Genomic DNA, 21,519 nt, shown 5'->3' with positions numbered 1-21,519 from the left:
GACGGGGTTTTGCCATGTTGCCCAGGCTGGTCTTGAACTCCTGGCCTCAAGTGATCCACCCACCTTGGCCTCCCTCAGTGCTGGGATTACAGGCATGAGCCACTGCATCCAGCCTGGAAAAGGTTGTTCTTGTTGCTCCTGGGGACCCAGTAGACTCTCGGTCCCAGTTTACTCTTACTTTACACATAGTTCCAACAATCCTGGGCAGCTAGTAACTAGCCTTGCTTAATAGATGAGAAGACAGGTGTCATTGCACAAGAAGAAAGAAACAAAAAGGCAAAGCCAGTTCAGCCATCAAATGAAATGGCAAATAGCTTCTCACTTTTTAGGCTCTAAGAGAGTCCTGGTGAATCCCAGGAAGAATACATGATGAGCACATGGTGAGCCGGGTTCTTTTTAAATTTTATTTTGTTTTTTTTTTTTTAAGACGCAGGGTCTTGCTCTGTTGACCAGGCTAGAGTGGAGTGGTGTGACCACAGCCCACTGTAGCCTCAACCTCCTTGGCCCAAGTGATCCTCCTACCTTAGCCTCTCAAATAGTTAGGACTACAGGTGTGTACCACTACATCCAGCTAATTTTTCTCTTTCTTTTTCTTTTTTTTGGTAGAGATGGGGGTCTCACTATGTTGCCCAGGCTGGTCTTGAACTCTTGGCCTTAAGTGATCCTCTTGCCTCAGCCTCCCAAGGTGCTGGGATTACAGGCATGAGCCACAGGGCCCAGCTAATTTTTGTATTTTTAGTAGAGACAGGGTTTCACAATATTGTTCAGGCTGGTCTCGAACTCCTGACCTCAAGTGATCCGCCTCAGCCTCCCAAGGTGCTGGGATTACAGGCATGAGTCACTGCACCCGGCCCACATTGTTTCTGTTCCTAATTTCTCTAGTAATTTCTATGAGAAAGACACTGATAGAGGCACTCACTCACTCAGGAGGGACGTGACACAGTCCGCTCTGAATGGCTGTCAGTTGCCAAATTTGGGAGACAGATGCAGCCGACACATGGTACAAAGTGCCAGATGTCAAGAGTCAAGTGGGCTTCCTGGGGGAGGTGGCATTTGAGATGGGCCTTGAAGGATGAGCGAGTGAAGACTGGAGGGTGGACACAGAAGAAAGTCATTGGTCATGCTGACAAGACCTGGTGGGTTTACCCTTATTTTACATGATTCTAACCATGTTTAAAAGAGGGGAAGTTTCTGGAAATGGGAACTAGGGTAAGTGTGTGGTTGATGCCTATGGTGGGTGCAGATAGGAGAAGGGAAGTGAGCTTGAAAAGGTTGTGATCTGACTGTAAAGGCTTCGAAAGCTGGGTTAAGGATTTTAGAATTTATTTATTCATTTATTTATTTATATTTTTTTCGAGACAGAGCCTCGCTCTGTCGCCCAGGCTGGAGTGCAGTGGTGCGATCTCAGCTCACTGCAACCCTCCCCTCCCAGGTTCAAGCAATTCTCCTACCTCAGCCTCCCAAGGAACTGGGTTAACAGGCGCGTGCTACCACGCCTGGCTAATTTTTGTATTTTTAGTAGAGACAGGATTTCACCATGTTGGCCAGGCTGGTCTCAAACTCCTGACCTCGTGATCTGCCTGCCTCGGCCTCCTAAAGTGCTGGGATTACAGGCGTCAGCCACCGTGCTGGACCTTATTTATTTATTTTTAGAGATAGAGTCTTGCTCTGTTGCCCAGGCTGGAGTGCAGTGACGCGATCACAGCTCACTGCAGCCTCAAACTCCTGTGCTCAGGCAATCCTCCCACCTCAGCCACCTGAGTCACTGGGACCACAGGCGTGTGCCACCATGCCCACATAATTTTTTTTGTTTATTTTTTGTAGTGACAGGGTCTCACTATATTGTCCAGGCCGGTCTTGAACTCCTGGGCTCATAAGATCTTCCTGCCTCAGCCTCCCAAACTGCTGGGATTACAGGCGTGAGCCACTGCACTTGGCCTAGAATTTAGTGAGCTGGTAATAGTGACTCATAGAAGAGGTTGTGCATGTTTAAATGGAAGACTTTAAAAATTTTTAATTGTGGTAAAATACACATAATATAAAATTTATCACTTTAGTCATTTATTTATTTATTTATTTATTTTTGAGATGGAGTCTCGCTCTCTGTCCCAGGCTGGAGTGCAGTGGCGCGATCTCAGCTCACTGCAAGCTCCGCCTCCCAGATTCAAGCGATTCTCCCATCTCAGCCTCCGGAATAGCTGGGACTACAGGCGGCCGCCACCACGCCCGGCTAATTTTTTGTATTTTTAGTAGAGATGGGGTTTCACCATGTTAGCCAGGATGGTCTCGATCTCCCGACCTCGTGATCCGCCCGCCTCAGCCTTCCAAAGTGCTGGAATTACAGGCGTGAGCCACCATGCCTGGCCTAGAATTTCCATCCTTTTAAAGGCTGAATCATATTCCATGTATGGATATACCACATTTTGTTTATCCATTCATTCATCAATAAATAGACACTGGGTTGTTTTCAGCTTTTTTTTAAAAAAAAGTCTTAATGTTACAGAGGAGGTCTCTCTCCATCACTCAGGCTGGAGTGCAGTGGCACCATCACAGCTCGCTGCAACCTCTATCTCCTGGGCTCCAGGGATCCTTCCACCTCAGCCTCCCAAGTAGCTGGGACTACAGGTGCATGCCACCACGGCTGGCTAATTCTTAAATTTTTTCTGTAGAGATGGGGTCTTGTCATCTTGCTCAAGCTGGTCTTCAACTCCTGGCCTGAAGCAATCCTCTCACCTCAGCCTTCCAAAGTGCTAGGATTACAGGTGTGAGCCACCGCGCCCGGCCTGGTTGTTTTCACCTTTGGGCTTTTTTGAATAATACTGCTATGATCACGGGTGTACCAATATCTTTTTGAGACACTGAGTTCAATTCTTTTGTGTACGTATTCAGAAGTGGCATTGCTGGGCCAGGCGCGGTGGCTCACACCTGTAATCCCAGCAATTGGGAGGCTGAGGTGGGTGGATTGCTTGAGCCCAGGAGTTTGAGACCAACCTCAGCAACATGGTGAAACCGTGTCTCTACAACAAATACAAAAATTAGCTGTGCCTGTGGTCCCAGCTACTTGGGAGGCTGAGGTGGGAGGATTACTTGAGCCCAGGAGGTCAAGGCTGCAGTGCGCCATGATTGTACCATTGCCTGGGTGACAGGGTAAGATCCTGTCTCAAAAAAGAAAAAGTATTGCTGGGTCATATGGTAACTATGTTTTAAGTTTTTGAAGAACTACGATAATGTTTTCTACGGCGACTGCGCTATTTTACATTCCCACAAAGGGTTCCTATTTTTCCACATCCTCACCAACACTTGCTATTTTTGTCAAAAGCCTCTGACCACAACGTTTTTGTCAACTGAATAATATATAACTTTTTTTGTTTTGTTTTGTTTAGACAGGGTCTCACTCTGTCCCCCAGGCTAGAGTGCGGTGGTGTGATCTAGGCTCACTGCAGCCTCCGCCTTCCGGACTCAAGCCATTCTCCCACCTCAGCCTCCCAACACGCTGAGTAGCTGGGACTATGCACCGCCAGGCCTGGCTAATTTTTTGTAGAGCTAGGATTTCACCATGTTGCCCAGGCTGGTCTCCAACTCCTGGGCTCAAACGATCTGCCTGCCTCAGCCTCCCAAAGTGCTGGGATTACAGGCATGAGCCACGGCGCCCAGCCATAACTTTGTTTTATGTGTGTTTCTGTTTTAGAATATCATATATATATATCAATCATATCTATATATATACACGCATATATATATATATATCACATATATATTTATTTTTTGATTCATTAACATTGAACTCCCGGCCAATAGCACTAGATCTGATGCCTGAATGAAGCTTCTGTAACACGTCTTTTCTCCGTGACACACGTCACGGCCTTCTTGACTTAGAAACACTAGACTACACTTCAGCACGGTGCGTGGGGGCCACTGAAGATAGCAGAGTCACCAACAAACAGCACAAAAATATGAAAAGCTTGGCACTAAATGGACCATAAAAAAGACACTTGCATGTAGTATCAGAGCTGGAGGAAGAAAGCAGAGTGTCTCCTTATTAGACCTCAACAGGGTTGGGTGACTGAGTATGTTGTCAGGCCGGGAGCAATGGCTCACGCCCATAATCCCAGTGCTTTGGGTGGCCAAGGCGGAAGGATGGCTTCAGCCCAGGAGTTCGAGACCAGCCTGGGCGACAGAGCGAGACCTCCATTTCAAAAACAATTTTTTTTTTTTTTTTTTTTTTTTTTTGGAGACAGAGTCTCGCTCTGTCGCCCAGGCTGGAGTGCAGTGGTGTGATCTTGGCTCACTGCAAGCTCCGCCTCCCGGGTTCACGCCATTCTCCTACCTCAGCTTCCCGAATAGCTGGGACTACAGGCGCCCGCCACCACGCCCAGGTAATTTTTTTGTATTTTTGTAGAGACGGGGTTTCACCGTGTTAGGATGGTCTCGATCTCCTGACCTCGTGATCTGCCTGCCTTGGCCTCCCAAAGTGCTGGGATTACAGGTGTGAGCCACTGCGCCCGGGCTTTTTTTTTTTTTTTTTTTTTTTTTGTAGAGACGAGGTTATTGCTCTGTTGCCCAGGCTGAAATGCAGTGGTACGACCTCGGCTCACTGCAACCTCCACCTCGTGGGTTCAAGTGATTCTTGAGCCTCAGCCTCCCGAGTAGCTGGGATTACAGGCACACACCACCAAGCCCGGCTAATTTTTGTATTTTTAGTAGAGATGGGGTTTCGACATGTTGGCCAGGTTGGTCTCGAACTCCTGACCTCAGGTAATCCACCTGCCTTAGCCTCCCAAAGTGCTGGGATTACAGGCGTGAGGCACCACGCCCAGCTCTACAAAAAAAATTTGTTTAATTAGCTAAGTGTGGTGCTGCATGCCTGAAGTCCCAGCTACTTGGGAGGATCGCTTGAGCCCAGGAGGTAAAGGCAATCCCACCACTGCACTCTTTTCTTTTCTTTTTTCTTTCTTTTCTTTTCTTTTTTCTTTCTTTTCTTTTCCTTTCCTTTCCTTTTCTTTCCTTCTCTCTCTCTCTCTTTCCTTCTTTCCTTTCTTTCCTTCTTTCTTTCTTTCTTTTCTTTCTTTTTTTTTTTTTCCTGAGACAGTCTCACTTTGTTGCCTAGGCTGGAGTGCAGTGGCGATGATCTTGTCTCACTACAACCTCTGCCTCCCAGGTTCAAGCAATTCTTGTGCATCAGCTTCCCAAGCATCTGGGATTACAGGTGTGCACCCACCATACCTGGCTAATTTTTGTATTTTTAGTAGAGACAGGATTTCACCATGTTGGCCAGGCTGGTATTGAACTCCTGACCTCAAGTGATCTGCCCACCTTGGCATCCCAAAGTGCTGGGATTACAGGCATGAGCCACCGTGCCCAGCTACTCCACCCTGTTTCTAAGCAAGAAAAAAAAAATTATCACTGTGCATGTCCACAAATGACCACAAATGCCCCAGCGAGTATTGATCTTAGAGTATAAACAAATTGCAACAAGTAGGCAAATTTGCCAATCTGGAATTTTCGAATCATGAAGCTCAACTGTATATATGTAGGAGTGGAATTGCTGGGTCATAGGGAGAAACTGCTGTACAGTCTTCCAAAGTTTCAGAGACTCTTCCAAAAAGTCAACAACTCTTCCACCAGTAGTGTATGAAGTGTTCCAGTTGCTCCATATCCTCCCCAACACTTGGTGTTGTCTTTCTTTTTCTTTTCTTTTCTTTTTTTCTTTCTTTTTTTTTTTTTTTGAGACAGGGTCTCACTCTGTCACCCAGGCTGGAGTGCTGTGGCACGATCTGTGCTCACTGCAACCTCAACCTCCCAGGCTCAAGCGATCCTCCCACCTCAGCCTCTCAAGTAGCTAGAACCACAGGCATGCAGCACCACTCCTGGCGAATTTTTTTGTAGAGACGGGGTTTTGCCCTGTTGCCTAGGCTAATCTGGAACTCCTGAGCTCAAGCAATCCACCCACCTTGGCCTCCCAAAGTACTGGGATTACAGGTATGAGCCACTGTGCCTGGCCTTTTTTTAGTTTTAGACATTCTGATGGGTGCCAAATAGTATTGCATTGTGGGTTTATTTATAAATTTATTTTTGTTTTTTTGAGTCAGGGTCTGGTTATGCTGCCTAGGCTGGTCTCCAACTCCTGGGCTCAAGTGATCCTCCCACCTTAGCTTCCTAAAGTGCTGGGAACATTGTGGGTTTCATTTACATTTCCTGATGATGAGTGATGTGCCTGATGATGAATTAAGTGCCTTTGCATATGTTTATTGACAACTTGGATATCCACTTTTGTGAAATGTCTAAGTCTTTTGCCCACTTCTCTGTTCAGATGTCTGGTTTTTTCTTACTGATTTGTAGGAATGTGTGTGTGTGTGTGTGTGTATCTAGATTTTACATAGATACATATTCATATTTTACATAACTATAAAATCAGGATATGAGATTTTTATTGGACATAATGACTGCAAATATCTTCTCTGTAGCTTTTCTTTTCATTCTCTTAGTGGTGTCTTTTAATCAATAGAATTCCTTAATTTCATTTCATTTCTTTTTTTTTTTTTTGAGACAGGGTCTCACTCTGTTGCCCAGGCCGGAGTGCAGTGGTGCAATTACGGCTCACTGCAGCCTCGATCTCCCGGGCTCAAGCGATCTTCCCACCTTAGCCTGCCGAGTTGCTGGAGCTATAGGTGCACACCACCACACCCAGCTAATTTTTGTAGTTTTTTTAGAGATGGTGTTTCACCGTGTTGCCCAGGCTGGTCTCAAATTCCTGGGTTCAAACCATCCTCCCGCCCCGGCCTCCCAAAGTGCTGGGATGACAGGCGTGAGCCACTGCACTCAGCCAGGATTTCTTAATTTTAATGTAGTTCAGGCTGGGTGTGGTGGCTCATGCCTGTAATCCTAGCATTTTGGGAGGCCGAGGTGGGCGGATTACGAGGTCAGGAGATCAAGACCGTCCTGGCTAATATGGTGAAACCCCGTCTCTACTAAAAATACAAAATAGCCAGGTGTGGTGGCGGGCGCCTGTAGTCCCAGCTACTTGGGAGGCCGAGGCAGGAGAATGGCATGAGCCCGGGAGGCAGAGCTTGCAGCAAGCCAAGATCATGCCACTGCACTCCAGCCTCGGTGACAGAGTGAGACTCCGTCTCAAAAAAAAAAAAAAATTTAATGTAGTTCAAATAATTTTTTCTTTCATGGCTAGTGCTTATTAGTGTCCTATTTTAAAAACCTTTGCCTAGCTGGGTGCAGTGGCTCATGCCTGTCTTCCCAGTGTTTTGAAAAGCTGAGGCAAGGGGATCGCTTGAGCCCAGGAGTTTGAGACCAGCCTGGGCAACATGGCAAGACCCTGTTTCTACCAAAAATAAAAAAAAATTAGCCAAGCATGGTGGCATGTGACTGTAGTCCCAGCTACTCGGAAGGTTGAGGCAGAAGGATCGCTTGAGCCAGGGAGGTTGAGGCTACAGTGAAGTATGATCATGTGACTGCACTCCAGCCTGGGTGACGGTAGGCAAAACCCTGTCTCAAAACAACAACAACAAAATCCCAAAACAAACAAAAGAAAATTATAATTCTGTCTGTTGCATATAGGTATTCTGAGGGTTAAATGAGTTGTTACATGTACTTTGCTGCAAATGGTGTCTGGAACATGATAGTACTAAATAAATCTCAGCAATTATTGATATTTTTCCAACAGTTACGAGTTTTTTACCACCCAGAAATTTCAAGGGAAATAAACTTTTTTTTTTTTCAAGATGGAGTCTCACTCTGTTGCCCAGGCTGGAGTACAGTGGTGTGATCTCTGCTCACAGCAACCTCTGCCTCCCAGGTTCAAATAACTTTCCTGCCTCAGCCTCCCAAGTAGCTGGGATTGCAGGTCTGTGCCACCACACCTGGCTACTTTTTTTTTTTTTTTTGTATGTTTAGTAGACACAGAGTTTTGCCATGTTGGCCAGGGTGGTCTCGAACTCCTGGCCTCAAGTGATCTGCCTACCTCAGCCTTCCAAAGTGCTGGGATTACAGGCATGAGCCACCGCGCCTAGCCCCAGAAGAAACATTTTTTTTCAGTGGCTTACCAGCACGATGTTCACAGTGATGATGATGGGGAAGAGGGGACACTTTCTTGAGATATTTCTGCATCAGGATTAGCTGGCTCTGGTGCTGGTTTGAATAGAAGAGGAGTGATGGAGAAGGAGGGGTAAAAAGTAAATAATCTCTCATTTCTGACCGTGGGTACATCATTGCCAGGACCAGGGTGATGCAAGCAAGGAATCTTGGGCTCAAAATTTAAGGAGACACCTATTCTTGTGTTAGTACAGTGCAGGGCACCTCAAAGAGGGAGCTTGCAAGTAAAGTTTAAAAATGCCTCCCCCTTTTGTACAGGCAGGGTCTTGCTCTGTTGCCCAGGCTGGAGTGCAGAGGTGCCATCATAGCTCACTGCAGCCTCAAACACTTGGGCTTAAGCGATCCTCCCACCTCAGTCTCCCAAGTAGCTGGTACTACAGGGACATGCCACCATGCCCAGCTACTTAAAAAAATTTTTTTGGTGGGGAGGGGCCAGGTGTGGTGGCTTACAGCTGTAATCCTAGCACTTTGGGAGGCCAAGGTGGGCAGACCACCTGAGGTCAGGAGTTCGAGACCAGCCGGCCAACATGGTGAAACCCTACCTCTACTAAAAAAAAAAAAAAATACAAAAATTAGCTGAGCATGGTGGCTTGCCCCTGTAATCCCAGCTACTCAGGAGGCTGAGGCACGAGAATCACTTGAACCCTGGAGGCACAGATTGCAGTGAGCCGAGCTCTCACCACTGCACTCCAACCTGGGTGACAGAGCAAGACTCTGTCTCAAAAAAAAAAAAAAAAAAAAAAATGGCAGTGGTCCAGGTGTGGTGGCTTATGCCTGTAATCCCAGCACTTTGGGAGGCCGAGGCAGGAGGATCACCTGAGGTCAGGAGTTTGAGACCAGCCTGGCCAATGTGGCAAAATGCTATCTCTACTAAAAATACAAAAACTAGCCAGGTGTGGTGGCGTGCACCTGTAATCCCAGCTACTCAGGAGGCTGAGGTAAGGGAATCACTTGAACCCAGAGGGGAAGGTTGCAGTGAGCCAAGATCAGGCCACTGCACTCCAGCCTGAGTGACAGAGCGAGACTCTGTCTCAAATAAATAAATGAATAGGAAGAAATGAGGTCTCGGCCGGGCAAGGTGTCTCATGCCTGTAAATCCCAGCACTTTGGGAGGCCGAGGCAGGTGGATTACGAGGTCAGGAGATCGAGACCATCCTGGCTAACACAGTGAAACCCCATCTCCACTAAAAATATAAAAAATTCTCCGGGCGTGGTGGTAGGCGCCTGTAGCCCCAGCTACTCCGGAGGCTGAGGCAGGAGAATGGCATGAGCCTGGGAAGCGGAACTTGCAGTGAGCCGAGATCATCCCATTGCACTCCAGCCTGGGTGACAGAGCGAGACTCCATCTCAAAAAAAAGAGAGAGAAATGAGGTCTCACTGCGTTGCCCAGGCTGGTCTCAAACTCCTGGCTTCAAGCAATTCTCCCGCTTCAGCTTCCCAAGGTGCTGGGATTACAGGCGTGAGCCACCGTGCCTGGTGGATCTTCCCTTTTCAGCAGTTTTATGGAGGTATAATTTACAGAGCATAAAATTCACCTGTGTAAGCGTGCAATTGAGTGACTTTTCGTAAATTTACAGAGTTGTGCAGCCATCACCCCGATCCAATTTTAGGACATTTTCATCACCTCCAAAACAGCCCCCGTGCCCATTTGCATTCCATCTCCACTCCCACCCCCACTTGCAGGCAATCTCTCGTCTACTTTCTGTCTGTATTGATTTGCTGTCCCTGGACATTATGTATAAATAGAATCATAAACTATGTGGTCTTTTGCGTCTGGCTCCTTTTACTTAGCAAAATGTTTTTGAGGATCATCCACATTGTAGCATATATCAGGAGCAAATTCCTTTTTATGGTGGAATGGCATTCCATTGTATGGATGTACCGCAATTTGTTTATTCACTCACCAGTTGATGGGTCTTTGGATTGTTTCATTCATTATGACCAATGCTGCTATGAATATTCATGTTTAGGTCTTTTCATAGACATATGCTTTGGTTTCTCTTGGGTAGATGGAATTGCTGGGTCTTTAAAAAGAGTTTTAGGGTCTGGCGTGGTGGCTTATGCCTACAATCCCAGCATTTTGGGAGGCTGAGGCAGGTGGATTGCCTGAGCCCAAGAGTTTGAGACCAGCCCGGGCAACATAGTGAGACCCCATCTCTACAGAAAACTTAAAAAATTAGCTGGGCACGGTGGTGTGCCTCTGTAGTCTCACCTATTCAGGAGGCTGAGGTAGGAGGATCACATGAGCCCAGGAGTTTGAGGTTGCAGTGAGCTATGATTGCACCACTGCACTCCAGCCTGGGCAACAGAGTGCCCAGCCCCTCGCCTTAAAAAAAAAGATAAAAGAACTAAAGTGGCCAGGCATGGTGGCTCATGCCTGTAATCCCAGCACTTTGGGAGGCCGAGGTGGGTGGATCTCTAGAGGTCAGGAGTTCAAAACCAGCCTGGTCAACATGGTGAAACCCCATCTCTACTAAAAATACAAAAATTACCCAGGCATGGTGGCATGCACCTGTAAACCCAGCTACTTGGGAGGCTGAGGCACGAGAATTACTCGAACCCAGGAGATGGAGGTTGCAGTGAGCAGAGATTTCACCACTGCACTCCAACCTGGGCAACAGAGCGAGACTCCATCTCAAAACAAAACAAAACAAAAAACAACTAAAGTAGGGTAAGTGGCACAGAGTGGTGGGGTGTTCAGATTGTAGATGAGGTGGCCAGGGAAGGTCCTTTGGATAAGATCACCATATCACTGAGGGTCTTGTTAGGGAAACAAACTACGTGTTTCAGAGAGGGGAAATTTAATACAGGGAATTGGTTAAGTGGGAGAAGAAAGAGTTGAGAAGCCACATGGGATGATGAGGAAATCTGGCATAAGCTACAGCAGAAAGCTACTGGAGGGACATGGCAAAGAGAGGATGTGATAAGGAAGGGACCCTTGGGGAGGAACTGGCACTATGGAGGAGGTGTAGCCACTGTCAGAAAACACCCTCCACCCCAAGCAGACACAGGAGAGAAACACCCTGGCTTCTGCCTTCCTCTCCAATCTCCGATCTCCCTCCAGTGGCTCCCATTGGATAAACCGACCAGGAAGCCAGTATGCAATGGAATCTGGGAAATGTAGTTTTCTGGGGGAAGGGCAGGGCATGGCTCTGACCCACACAATGACAGAGCAGAGATATAAATTAAATAAAGGACCGGGAATGGTGGCTCGCATCTGTAGTCCCAGCTACTTGGGAGGCTGAGGCAGGAGAATAGCTTGAGCCTAGGAGTTAGAGGCTGCAATGAGCTATGATTGAACCACTGCACTCCAGCCTGGGTGACAGAGCAAGACTCTGTCTCTAAAAAATACATTAATTAAGTAAAGGAACAAGCCATGGGGGGCATCCTTGATGTATTTTGTGTAGAAGGAACAGGAAGTTCAAAGGTCCTGAGGTTGCAGTGTCCCAGATGGAGCCAAAACCTTGAGAGTGGGTGTGATGGTCCAGGCAGAATGAGAGCGGCAGGGAACCCAGGACAAAGCCCTGAAAGATACAGAGTTTTAGGGAGTAGCAGGAGACAGCGACGGCACAGCCAGAGAGGTGGGTGCAGAACTAGGAAGTGATACCGTGTCTCTGAAGTCAAGGGAAAAAGGAGTTTCAAGAAGGTGATGGTGAGTGGGGACTGACTGACTGTGAGAATGATCTAATGAGGACTGGCATGAGGGTGTGGACCTGGCAAATTGGCACCTTTGGTGAGAAGAGTTTTGGAAACGTTGGGGAGGTGGGAGGCAAGGAGTTAAATGCAAGCAAGTGCAAACTCGAGCACAGACCACTCCTTGGAGAAGCCTGGATGCGCTGAACTAAGGCAGTTTCCCACAGCACCCATGGCCAGAGAGTGAGAAAGTTTGTTTGGGTCCCAAATTGTCTAAGCCAGGAGGCCTGGAGCCCAGTTGGTCTTAGGGTCTGAAATCAGACAGTCCTGGTTTCAAAACCTGGGCCCCCACTTCCCTGCTGGGTTCCCCTGATCTGGGTCCCTCTCCTCTCTGAGCTCAGTTTCCTCACCTGGAAATAGGGGTGTCACTGTACTGTTTATGGATGTTGCAGCAGTTGTTAACATTGCATCTGCAAAGTGTTCAGCACTCATCAGTGAAAGCTTTAGAACAAGCTGGCAAGAACTCATCTTTTTTTTCTTTTAGACAGGGTCTCACTCGTCTGTCGCCCAGGCTGGAGTGCAGTGGCTCGATCTTGGCTCACTGCAACCTCTGCCTCCTGGGTTCAAGCAATTCTCCCACCTCAACCTCCCAAGTAGCTGGGATTACAGGCGTGCACCACCATACCCGGCTAACTTTTGTATTTTTAGTAGAGACAGGGTTTTACCATGTTGGCCAGGCTGGTCTCGAACTCCTGGCCTCAAGTGATCCACCCTCCTCGGCCTCCCAAAGTGCTGGGATTATAGGCATGAGCCACTGTGCCCGGCCTCAAATAATAACAACAATGGTAGCTACTATTTGAAAAACTTACCATGTCCCAGACACTTGTAAAGTATTTTACAAACATCATCATTCCTTATTCTCCCCCTGGCTCACTCCAACTACACTGGCCTCCTTCCTGGTCCTCAAACACTCCTGCCCCAGGGCCTTTGCACTTGCTGTTCCTGTTGCGTGGAACTCTCTTCCCCTAGATATCCAGATGGTTCCCTTCCTCACTTCAGGTCTCTGCTTAAACGTCCCTTTCTCGCCAGGCGCGGTGGTTCACGCCTCTAATTCCAGCACTTTGGGAGGCCGAGGTGGGCAGATCACGAAGTCAGGAGATTGAGACCATCCTGGCTAACACGGTGAAACCCCGTCTCTACTAAAAAATACAAAAAATTAGCCGGGCGTGGTGGTGGGTGCCTGTAGTCCCAGCTACTCGGGAGGCTAAGGCAGGAGAATGGCCTGAACCCGGGAGGCAGAGCTTGCAGTGAGCCGAGATCACGCCACTGCACTCCAGCCTGGGCGACAGAGCAAGACTCCGTCTCAAATAAATAAATAAATAAATAAATAAATAAATAAATAAAAAAGTCCCTTTCTCCAATCACTCTGTTTAAAGTTTACTTCCCCTTCCTCCTAATATCTTATGTACTTTACTTTTTTCCCGTATTTCTTGACTGTCTCACCCCATAGAATATTCATCTTCACATCCAACCCGGAGGCTCATTCTTGGAATGCCAACACTTTGGGAGGCCAAGGTGGGAGGATCGATTGAGGCCAGGGGTTCGAGACCAGCCTGGGCAACATAGCGAGATGCCCATCTCTACCAAAAAAAAAAAAAAAAGAGAGAGAAAAGAAAAAGAATATTCAATTTCACACAGGCAGGCATTTTTGTCTGTTGTTCACAGTGCCTGGGACATAGTAGATGCTCAGTAAATTACCTGATTCTCAGGATGACCAAGCCCTTTACACGTGTTAGGTCTCCACCACCCACTTTGCAGATGGGGAAACTGAGGCAGAGAGGAACAGTCATCCCTACAGGTCACACTTGCATCTTGGTGTTGTCCAGCTCAGAAAAAAAGACGGTTCGAGACCCCTAGCCCCCCTCCCCGCTCATGCTTGGCGCTCCTCCCCAGCCAGAGCCCTCAGCCCCAGGCCGCCGCCTGGAAAGGCCTGAGTCATCGCCGCCTCCAGACGGCGGCGGCCGCGGGCTGAGGGCGACGGCGGCGGCGGAGCGAGGTGATGCGGGGACGCCAGGAGGGGGCGTGAGTGCAGGCAAAACAGAGGAAATTAAAACTAGCCCGGCGCTCCTCTCCGCGGCCCAGCGGCTGCCGCCGCCGGCTGATGCGTGGGCGGACGGGTGGGCGGCGAGGGCACTGCGCTTCCCGCTCCCCCGAGGGAGCGGGCCGGGAGCGGGGTCCCCGGGGCCGCGAGGAAGGTCCGAAGCGTGAGTGCCCCGCCCCCACCCAAAGTTAAAGTTGCAAGTAGACACCTGCCCGGGACTCGCCTCCTAAAAGCCGCGTGCCAGGTCTCCGTGGTCCCTGGGTAGGAAACTGCCCTTGGTAGTCGTGGGAACTCCTCCCGTGGCCGAAGTGACCCCAGGACCGCACCTGCACCCAAACAATTTCGTCTGCTGGCCCTGGATCACGCCACCCTGGGGGCACGAAATGACCGAAGGATCCTTAGAGTGGTCTCAGTGCCCGGGAAGGAAGCCCCTTCCCCCAGCTAAAGGAGACCCTTGGTGACCCGATTCATGGGAGCGCACGAGCGTGTCGCCCCCCCACGCCCCCCAATGCCCGCTGTCCGAGGTTTTAGGTAGCCAGGGTGGGTGTCCCAACAGTGGGTGGGTGGGGATTTGCGACTCCGGCCCCCTGCCGTCTTTGGGTGGCCGGGGTGGGCCGAGGGCGCCTTTACGCGCGGGGTCCCGCGGCTCAGGCTCGAAGAGGGTCTGCGTGCGGGAGGCGGTCCGGGAACACCGCCTAGGGGGAGGGGGGCCGGGAATACCGTTGGGGGGCGGGGCTGGGGAATGCCACCGCGGTGGTGGTGGGGCGCTTGGGGAATGCCACCAGGGGGAGGTCCCCCACCCCATGGAGAGGTCCTCGGCGGGGGGCGGGCGAGGGCGTGGGGTGGGGGGTGGGGGCAGTCTGGGCGCCCCCCGCCCCCCGCCGGGCTCCGGGCCGGAGGCGTGACGTCACGGCGGCTGGAAGTGCCCGGCGCGGAGGCGCGGGAGGGGGCGGGGGCCCGAGCCGGCGCTTTATAAGAGGAGCCCGCCAGGCGCGCCGAGCCGCAGCCCGCGTCCCCGAGCCCCCCCTCACCCCGTCCCGGACCCCCTGCCCCGCAGCTCGCGCTCGTGCCCCCTCCCCCACGCCCCCCCGGGGCGCCTGGGTGTCGAGGGACCGAGCGCCCCGCGGCGGGCCAGAGAAGGGACGCGCGGCGGGCGGCCGCGGGGCATGAGGCGGAGGCGCGATGTCGGTGCCGCTGCTCAAGATCGGGGCCGTGCTGAGCACCATGGCCATGGTCACCAACTGGATGTCGCAGACGCTGCCCTCGCTCGTGGGGCTCAACGGCACCGTGTCCCGTGCGGGCGCCTCTGAGAAAATCGTGAGTGGCCGCCGCGCGGGGGGCGCTCCCGGGGGGCGTGGTACCCGCGCCACAGCCGCTGCCGCCGCCGCAGCCCCCGGGGCCCCCACCTGTCCCCCTCTACCCCTGTGCTTCCCACGACCCTGCCCGGCACGCCTGGGTAGGGGACGCCCTCTCGGGGTTCCAGGGTCGGACGTGGAGGCAGAAGGAGCCCCGGGACCCCTAGCCACCTCCGCGCCATTTAGGATGGTTCTTGCTGTTATTATTGATTATTATGATTATTAGTGAGCAATGTCTGAGCGCGAATAGCGTACCAGGCTCGCTCCGGCCCCAGGGCGGAGGCGACAAGGGCTGCAGAATTGAGCTGAGTCCGGGCTGAGTGGGGTGCAGCGGGAGGAGGGTGAGACTCGGGGGTTTAGAAGGACCCTGTCTCTGAAAGAGGGGAGGATCGAGGGGTTTCCGAGTGTCTCCACCTTCAAGGTCTCTGCCTGGTTGCGTCTCGGCGTCTCTGAGTAGTTCTGTCTGAGTCTCTATTCATTTCCCCTGCTTTGCGTCTCTGGGTCTCTTTCTATTAATATTTCTATCTTTCCTTGTCTCTGTCTCTGTGGCGCTGAGAATTTGTATCTCTTTTTTTCTCTCTTTTTCTCTCCCCTGCACCCCTTCCGCCATTCTTGCCTCGCCATGTGCTGAATATTTATCCCCATAACTCACCCTCCCTGGGAGGTAGACGGGGCGCAGACTGGGGCCGGAGCTGACACTGCCTCCAGAAGCTCCAGGATGGCGCCTTCCCATCCCATCCCCCTTTGAGGCTTTATCCTCCAGCTTCCCCACTACAGAGCTTCCCTGGATCAGGGAAGAAGGAGAGAACTCAGTGGGGTTCTCCCCGTGGTGTCCTGAGGAGAGAGGGGAGGGGTTTCCTTCACTGCAAACTTCCCTGGGCCTCCTCCAGATATGCCTTTCCCCCCACTCCTCAACCTCTGGTAGCCCCACCCCTGTTCCATCTGTTTGGGGGGCTCCTCCCAAATCATCCCCCAAACCCAGGCTGCGATGCCTGGGGCTCCCTTTCTTTAGCCCCAACTTCACCAACCCTCCCTTGCTTAGCCCCAAATGGTCATCCCGCAGCTTCTTTCTCCTTGATGGGAGCAAAGAAGAATTTGCTCCCTAGGGTCGAAGGCAAGGGTGTGTGGTGGTGGTGGGGACACCTGAGAAGGCTTTGTCCAGCCCCTGGTGGGGGTGGTATTGGGCTTGACACAGGTGAGAGCTTTCAGGCTAGATTCTTAGACTTGGCAGCCAATGTGTGAGACGGTGTGTTTCTGTGTGTCTGTCACATTAAGTGTTTATTATTTGGGTATGTCCTGGTGTGTCTATATGTGTGTGTTTCGGTGTGTATATGGGGGAATGGGAGTGGAGAAAGTTTATGTGCACTGCCGGCATGGGGTCCGATGTGCCTTCCTGTGTGTGAGGGTGCATCCCAGAATGAGTGTGGGTGTGTCCCTGAGTGACTGTGCTTGGGTGTGGACGTATCAGCATGTGTATCTGCAATTGCCTGTCCCTGACTATGGGTTTGCCTGTGTTACAAGATTGCATGTGTGCATATGAGTTTGTTATACACAAGTATGATACAGGCTTCTTGCCGTTGCCATCTGAGAAGGGAGAGAGATGGTATCTCATTGAAATCAGAAGCCAAATTTCCCTCTACCACCATTGAAAGCAAGTGAGTCTGTGTACATGTGTTCTATGCAGGTGTGTGTAAATGTGTGCATATGGTGTGTCTGCAGAATGTATAAATAAGTATATAAGAGCATGTCTATGAGTTATGATTTTGTGTGTGCATATGTATCTGTGCAAACGTGTGTGCAAGTATCTTTGTGTGCATATGTGTGGACAGGTATGTCTTTGTAAGTGTGTGCATATAACTGCAAGTGTGTATTTATGAAAGTGTGTGTGTGTGCCTGCCTTGTGTGCATGTGGGTAGGATGCCCTGTGTGCTGTGTGTTTTCTGTAAGTGTGTATGTGTGTGTGCCCAAACAGACCTGATCTCCACTCTGGCCCATTCGTAGCTAACAGCATCTTCATCCAATGCTTCCATGAATTCACCTGCTGAAAGCCAATGGCCCTCCCATCCCTGACACCACCCCATCCCTCAGTCTCATTATACTTTGTCAAAAGGGATCTGAGAAGTGAGATGTTAAGGTACTCAGGGTGAGGGCTGGGAGGGGACTGTGACATGAGGGTGTCCATTTTGGGAGTCTGAAAGACCTATGTTGGAATCTAGATTTTGTCCCCAACTTGCTCTATGACTCTGGCCAGTGCCTTTGTCACTCTGAGCTATTGTTTTCTCATCTATAAAATGGGAATGATGTCTTACCTCACAGAATTGTTGTGGGTAACAGAGATCTGCTGTTCAAATTCCCATCCTTCCACGCTTCCATATATCTCTTCATCCATCCATCCATCCTTCCCTCCATCTATTATTTCATCTATCCATCTGTTTTTACGCCCATCCTTCCATCTGTCTTGCTATCCATATCTCCATTCATTCATTCATCCAACCACCTGTTATTCCATCAGTCTGTCCATCTATCCATCAATTATTTCATCTACCCATCCATTTTCTCTCCATCCATTCACTCATACACCCACCCACTATTCCATCTGTCCATCCATCTGTACATCCATCCTTTCACACATCCATCTCTTTATCCTTCCACCCATCTCTTTTCATCTATCCATGATGCATCATTTGTCTCTCTGTTCTTTCATGGATCCATTCTTCTATCCATCCATCTCTATCCATGCATTCACCAATTCCTCCATGCATGCATTATCCATTATCCAACTCTCTTTTTCTATCCTCTGTGCATCCATCCTTCCACCATCCATCTGCCTCTCCATCCATTCATCTATCCTTCCATCCATTGTATTTATTCCACAAAACTATTTTTTTAAGAGGTGGAGTCTCACCATGTTGCCCAAGCTGGTCTTGAACTCCTGGGCTCAAGGGATCCTCCCTCCTCGGCCTCCCAAAATGCTGGGATTACAGGCATGAGCCACCAGTGCCTGGCCTATTCCACAAGACTATCAAGTGCCTCTTCTATGTCAAGAATTTTTATGTTTGAAAACCCCCAGCTCAGTGCCTAAGATAGCAGATGCTCAGTTAGTGATAAGATTTTTGAGTCAAACATATCTGGGTTTGAATTCTGGCCCTGTAATTTACTAGCTGTGTGACTTTGGGGGAAATTATTTAATTTCTCTAAGCCCCAACTTCCTTATTGTTATTATTATTAATATTATTATTTTTAGAGAAAGAGTCTCACTCTGTCACCCAGGCTGGAGTGTAGTGATGCCATCATAGCTCACTAACATCTGGAACTCCTAGGCTCAAGTCATTCTCCTGTCTTAGCCTCCTAAGAAGCTGGGATTCGATTTCCTTATTAGTCAGGGGGAATTTAGAGTCTTTATGAGATGGTAAGATCCTTGAAGACATCTGTGTTTTGCTCACTACTGAACCCTAAGGTGTGGCGCACATAGGCCTACAATAAATATTTGTCCAATGACTGAATCCACAATCACACCTTCATAAGGATTTGTGGATTCCTCCTTCAAACAAAAACAAATAAATAACGGGCACATAGTAGTGTTTAGTAAGGAGGGGTTGTTTTATTTACCCCTCTAGCCAAGCCTGGAATAAACATTTCTCAAGTGTCTAAATCCATTTCACCTTCCTCAGGACTGGGGAGAACAAATGGAAAGTGACCAGGCACACAGTAGGTGTTCGGTTAGGAGGAGATGTCGGAAGGTTTAGCACCCCAACGTCGGGGAGGCTGAGGGGTTCAGGAAACAAAGCAGTATGGATTCCCAAAGTCAGGAGGCGGAAGGTTGGATGCTGGTGTTTGGCTTTAAAAAGGAACTCAGTGGTGTGGGGCGGTGAGCGTAGAGCCTTGGGGGTCCTGCTTCTCTCTGGCTTCCTCCTCCTGAATTGCAGAAGCAGCTTAGCATTCCTGTGGTTATAGACCATCTCTGGGAAGACGTGGGGAGGAAGCTGCCGCTACTACCTTTGGCCAACTCCCAGCCATAAACCATCCCTGTGGGACAGGAGCCTTCAGCGGAATGGCTTCTCACCTGGGGATCATAAATCCAGGACCAGACTAAGAGCTGTCAGCTGTATTGCCAGCCACGGACATCATTTCGAGGCCTGAAGTAAAATACCTGAATCTTGTATGTTATACCCTTGACCGTCGCCTCTGCCTGGGGGGCTGGAGAGAGGGAAGGGGAGATGGAGGAGGGGTGTGCTATTTGAGGGGGACCTTTTGCTTTATGGGACGAATAAGGAGGAGCTGAGCAGTTCTCAGCAAAAGGCTCTTAGAGTGGCACTGTGGCTCATGCCTATAATTCTCAAGCTTTGGAAGGCAGGGGTGGGAAGATTGCTTGAGGCCAAGAGTTCAAGACCAGCCTGGGCGACATAGCAAGATCCTGTCTCTACAAAAAATTAAAATAGGCTGACCACAGTGGGCTCACATGTGTAATCTCAGCACTTTGAGGGGTCAAGGTGGGAAGATTGCTTGAGGCCAGGAGTTCGAGACCAGCCTGGACAACATAGCAAAACCCCAAAAGAAAATACATTTTTAGCCAGGCACGGTGGCTCACACCTGTAATCCCAGCACTTTGGGAGGCCAAGGCAGGTGGATCACCTGAGGTCAGGAGTTCAAGACCAGCCTGGCCAACATGGTGAAACCCGGTGGCTCACACCTGTAATCCCAGTGCTTTGGGAGGCTGATGCGGGCAGATCACGAGGTCAGGAGATCGAGACCATCCTGGCTAACATGGTGAAACCCCGTCTCTACTAAAAATACAATAATTAGCTGGGCACGGTGGCGGGTGCCTGCAGTCCCAGCTACTCGGGAAGCTGAGGCAGGAGAATGGCGTGAACCCAGGAGGTGGAGCTCGCAGTGAGCCGAGATTGCATCACTGCACTTCCAGCCTGGGTGACAGAGCAAGACTCTGTCTCAAAAAAAAAAAAAAAAAAAAAAAAAAAAAAATTAGCCAGGTGTGATGGCAGGCACCTGTAATCCCAGCTACTTAGGAGGCTGAGGCAGGAGAACCCAGGAGGCAGAGGTTGCAGTGAGCCGAGATCGCGCCATTGCACTCCAGCCTGGGTGACAAGAGCAAAACTCCATCTCAAAAAAAAGAAAAAGAGGAAAAATAAAAAGAATTAGCTGGGCATGGTGGTGCACACCTGTAGTCCCAGCTACTCAGGAGGCTAAAGCATGAGGATTGCTTGAGCCCAGGAGTTGGAGGCTACAGTGAGCTATGATCGCACCACGCCTGGCATGTTGGAGGAACAGGGAGGAGGCCCATGTCTGGAGCATAGTGAGCGAGCGGAAGAGGGAGAGGAGGTGAGGGAAGGAAGGTGATGGGAGCCATATCATGTCGTGGGGAGGGGGATCTTTCAGGGACTTTAGATTTTTAAAATTTTTAAATTTTATTTTATTTTTTTTTGAGATCAAGTCTCACCCTGTTGCCCAAGCTGGAGTGCAGTGGCACGATCTTTGCTTACTGCAACCTCTGCCTCCCGGATTCAAGCGATTCTCCTGCCTCAGCCTCCCAAGTAGCTAGGATTACAGGCATGCACCACCAGGCCTGGCTAATTTTTTGTATTTTCAGTAGAGATGGGGTTTTGCTATGTTGGCCAGGCTGGTCTCCAACTCCCGACCTCAAGTGATCCACTCACCTCGGCCTCCCAAAGTGTTGGGATTACAGGCATAAGCCACCATGCCCGGCCTATATCTGTCTCTTTATCTCATTCATGTCTGTCTCTCCATGTCTCTCTGTGTCTGTCTGTCTCTACCTCTGGGATTCTATCTCCATCTCACCATAGGACCCTGACGGGGACCCTGGGAAACAGACTAGAATTCTTGGACGGCAGAGGCTTCTAGGGCCAGGACCTGTGTTGGATGTTAGGAAGGATTTGGTGACAGAGGGCAGGATGACCAAGACCACCTCTCTTATTTATTTATTTGTTTGTTTGTTTATTCATTTATTTTGAGATAGAATCTCGCTCTCACCCAGGCTGGAGTGCAGTGGCACCGTCTTGGCCCACTGCGATCTCCCTCAATCACCTCCCGGGTTCAAGCGATTCTCCTGCCTCGGCCTCCCAAGTAGCTGGGACTACAGGTGTGCGCCACCCTGCCTAGCTAATTTTTGTATTTTTAGTAGAGATGGGGTTTCAGCATGTTAGCCAGGCTGGTCTCAAATCCTGACCTCAAGTGATCCACCCGCCTCAGCTACCCAAAGTGCTGGGATTACAGGCGTGAACCACCACGCCCGGCCCCAGACCACCTCTCTTGAGGGCCCCAAAGAGAGGCATTGGCAGTGTCTGGACCCCC

General features: G+C 50.0%; 1 protein-coding gene across 2 annotated transcripts in view, besides 2 other annotated features; it reads left to right on the top strand.

Annotated features, from left to right (window-relative positions):
• Positions 1 to 21,519, top strand: part of OLFM2 (olfactomedin 2) — an 82,798-nt gene that overhangs the window by 7,879 nt on the left and 53,400 nt on the right. Inside the window, exon 1 of one of the 2 annotated variants that reach the window (NM_001304347.2) lies at positions 14,836 to 15,154. The exons of the other annotated variant lie outside the window; for it this stretch is intronic. Coding sequence (NP_001291276.1) covers positions 15,020 to 15,154 — 135 coding nt within the window. The 5' untranslated portion in view covers positions 14,836 to 15,019. Of the gene's footprint in view, positions 1 to 14,835; positions 15,155 to 21,519 lie in introns of those variants that run through there. 2 annotated transcript variants of the gene reach the window in all.
• Positions 13,882 to 13,971: a silencer, noted in NCBI's record as "silent region_10050". NCBI's record gives its function as "represses an Ori minimal core promoter by ATAC-STARR-seq in GM12878 lymphoblastoid cells {active_cell/tissue: GM12878}" and the evidence as "EXISTENCE:reporter gene assay evidence [ECO:0000049][PMID:35858748]".
• Positions 13,992 to 14,091: a silencer, noted in NCBI's record as "silent region_10049". NCBI's record gives its function as "represses an Ori minimal core promoter by ATAC-STARR-seq in GM12878 lymphoblastoid cells {active_cell/tissue: GM12878}" and the evidence as "EXISTENCE:reporter gene assay evidence [ECO:0000049][PMID:35858748]".

This window comes from Homo sapiens, chromosome 19, assembly GCF_000001405.40.
Source record: "Homo sapiens chromosome 19, GRCh38.p14 Primary Assembly".
NCBI classification, from domain to species: domain Eukaryota; kingdom Metazoa; phylum Chordata; class Mammalia; order Primates; family Hominidae; genus Homo; species Homo sapiens.
Note: the sequence above shows the minus strand (reverse complement) of the source record. Positions and strands in the feature narration are given on the sequence as shown.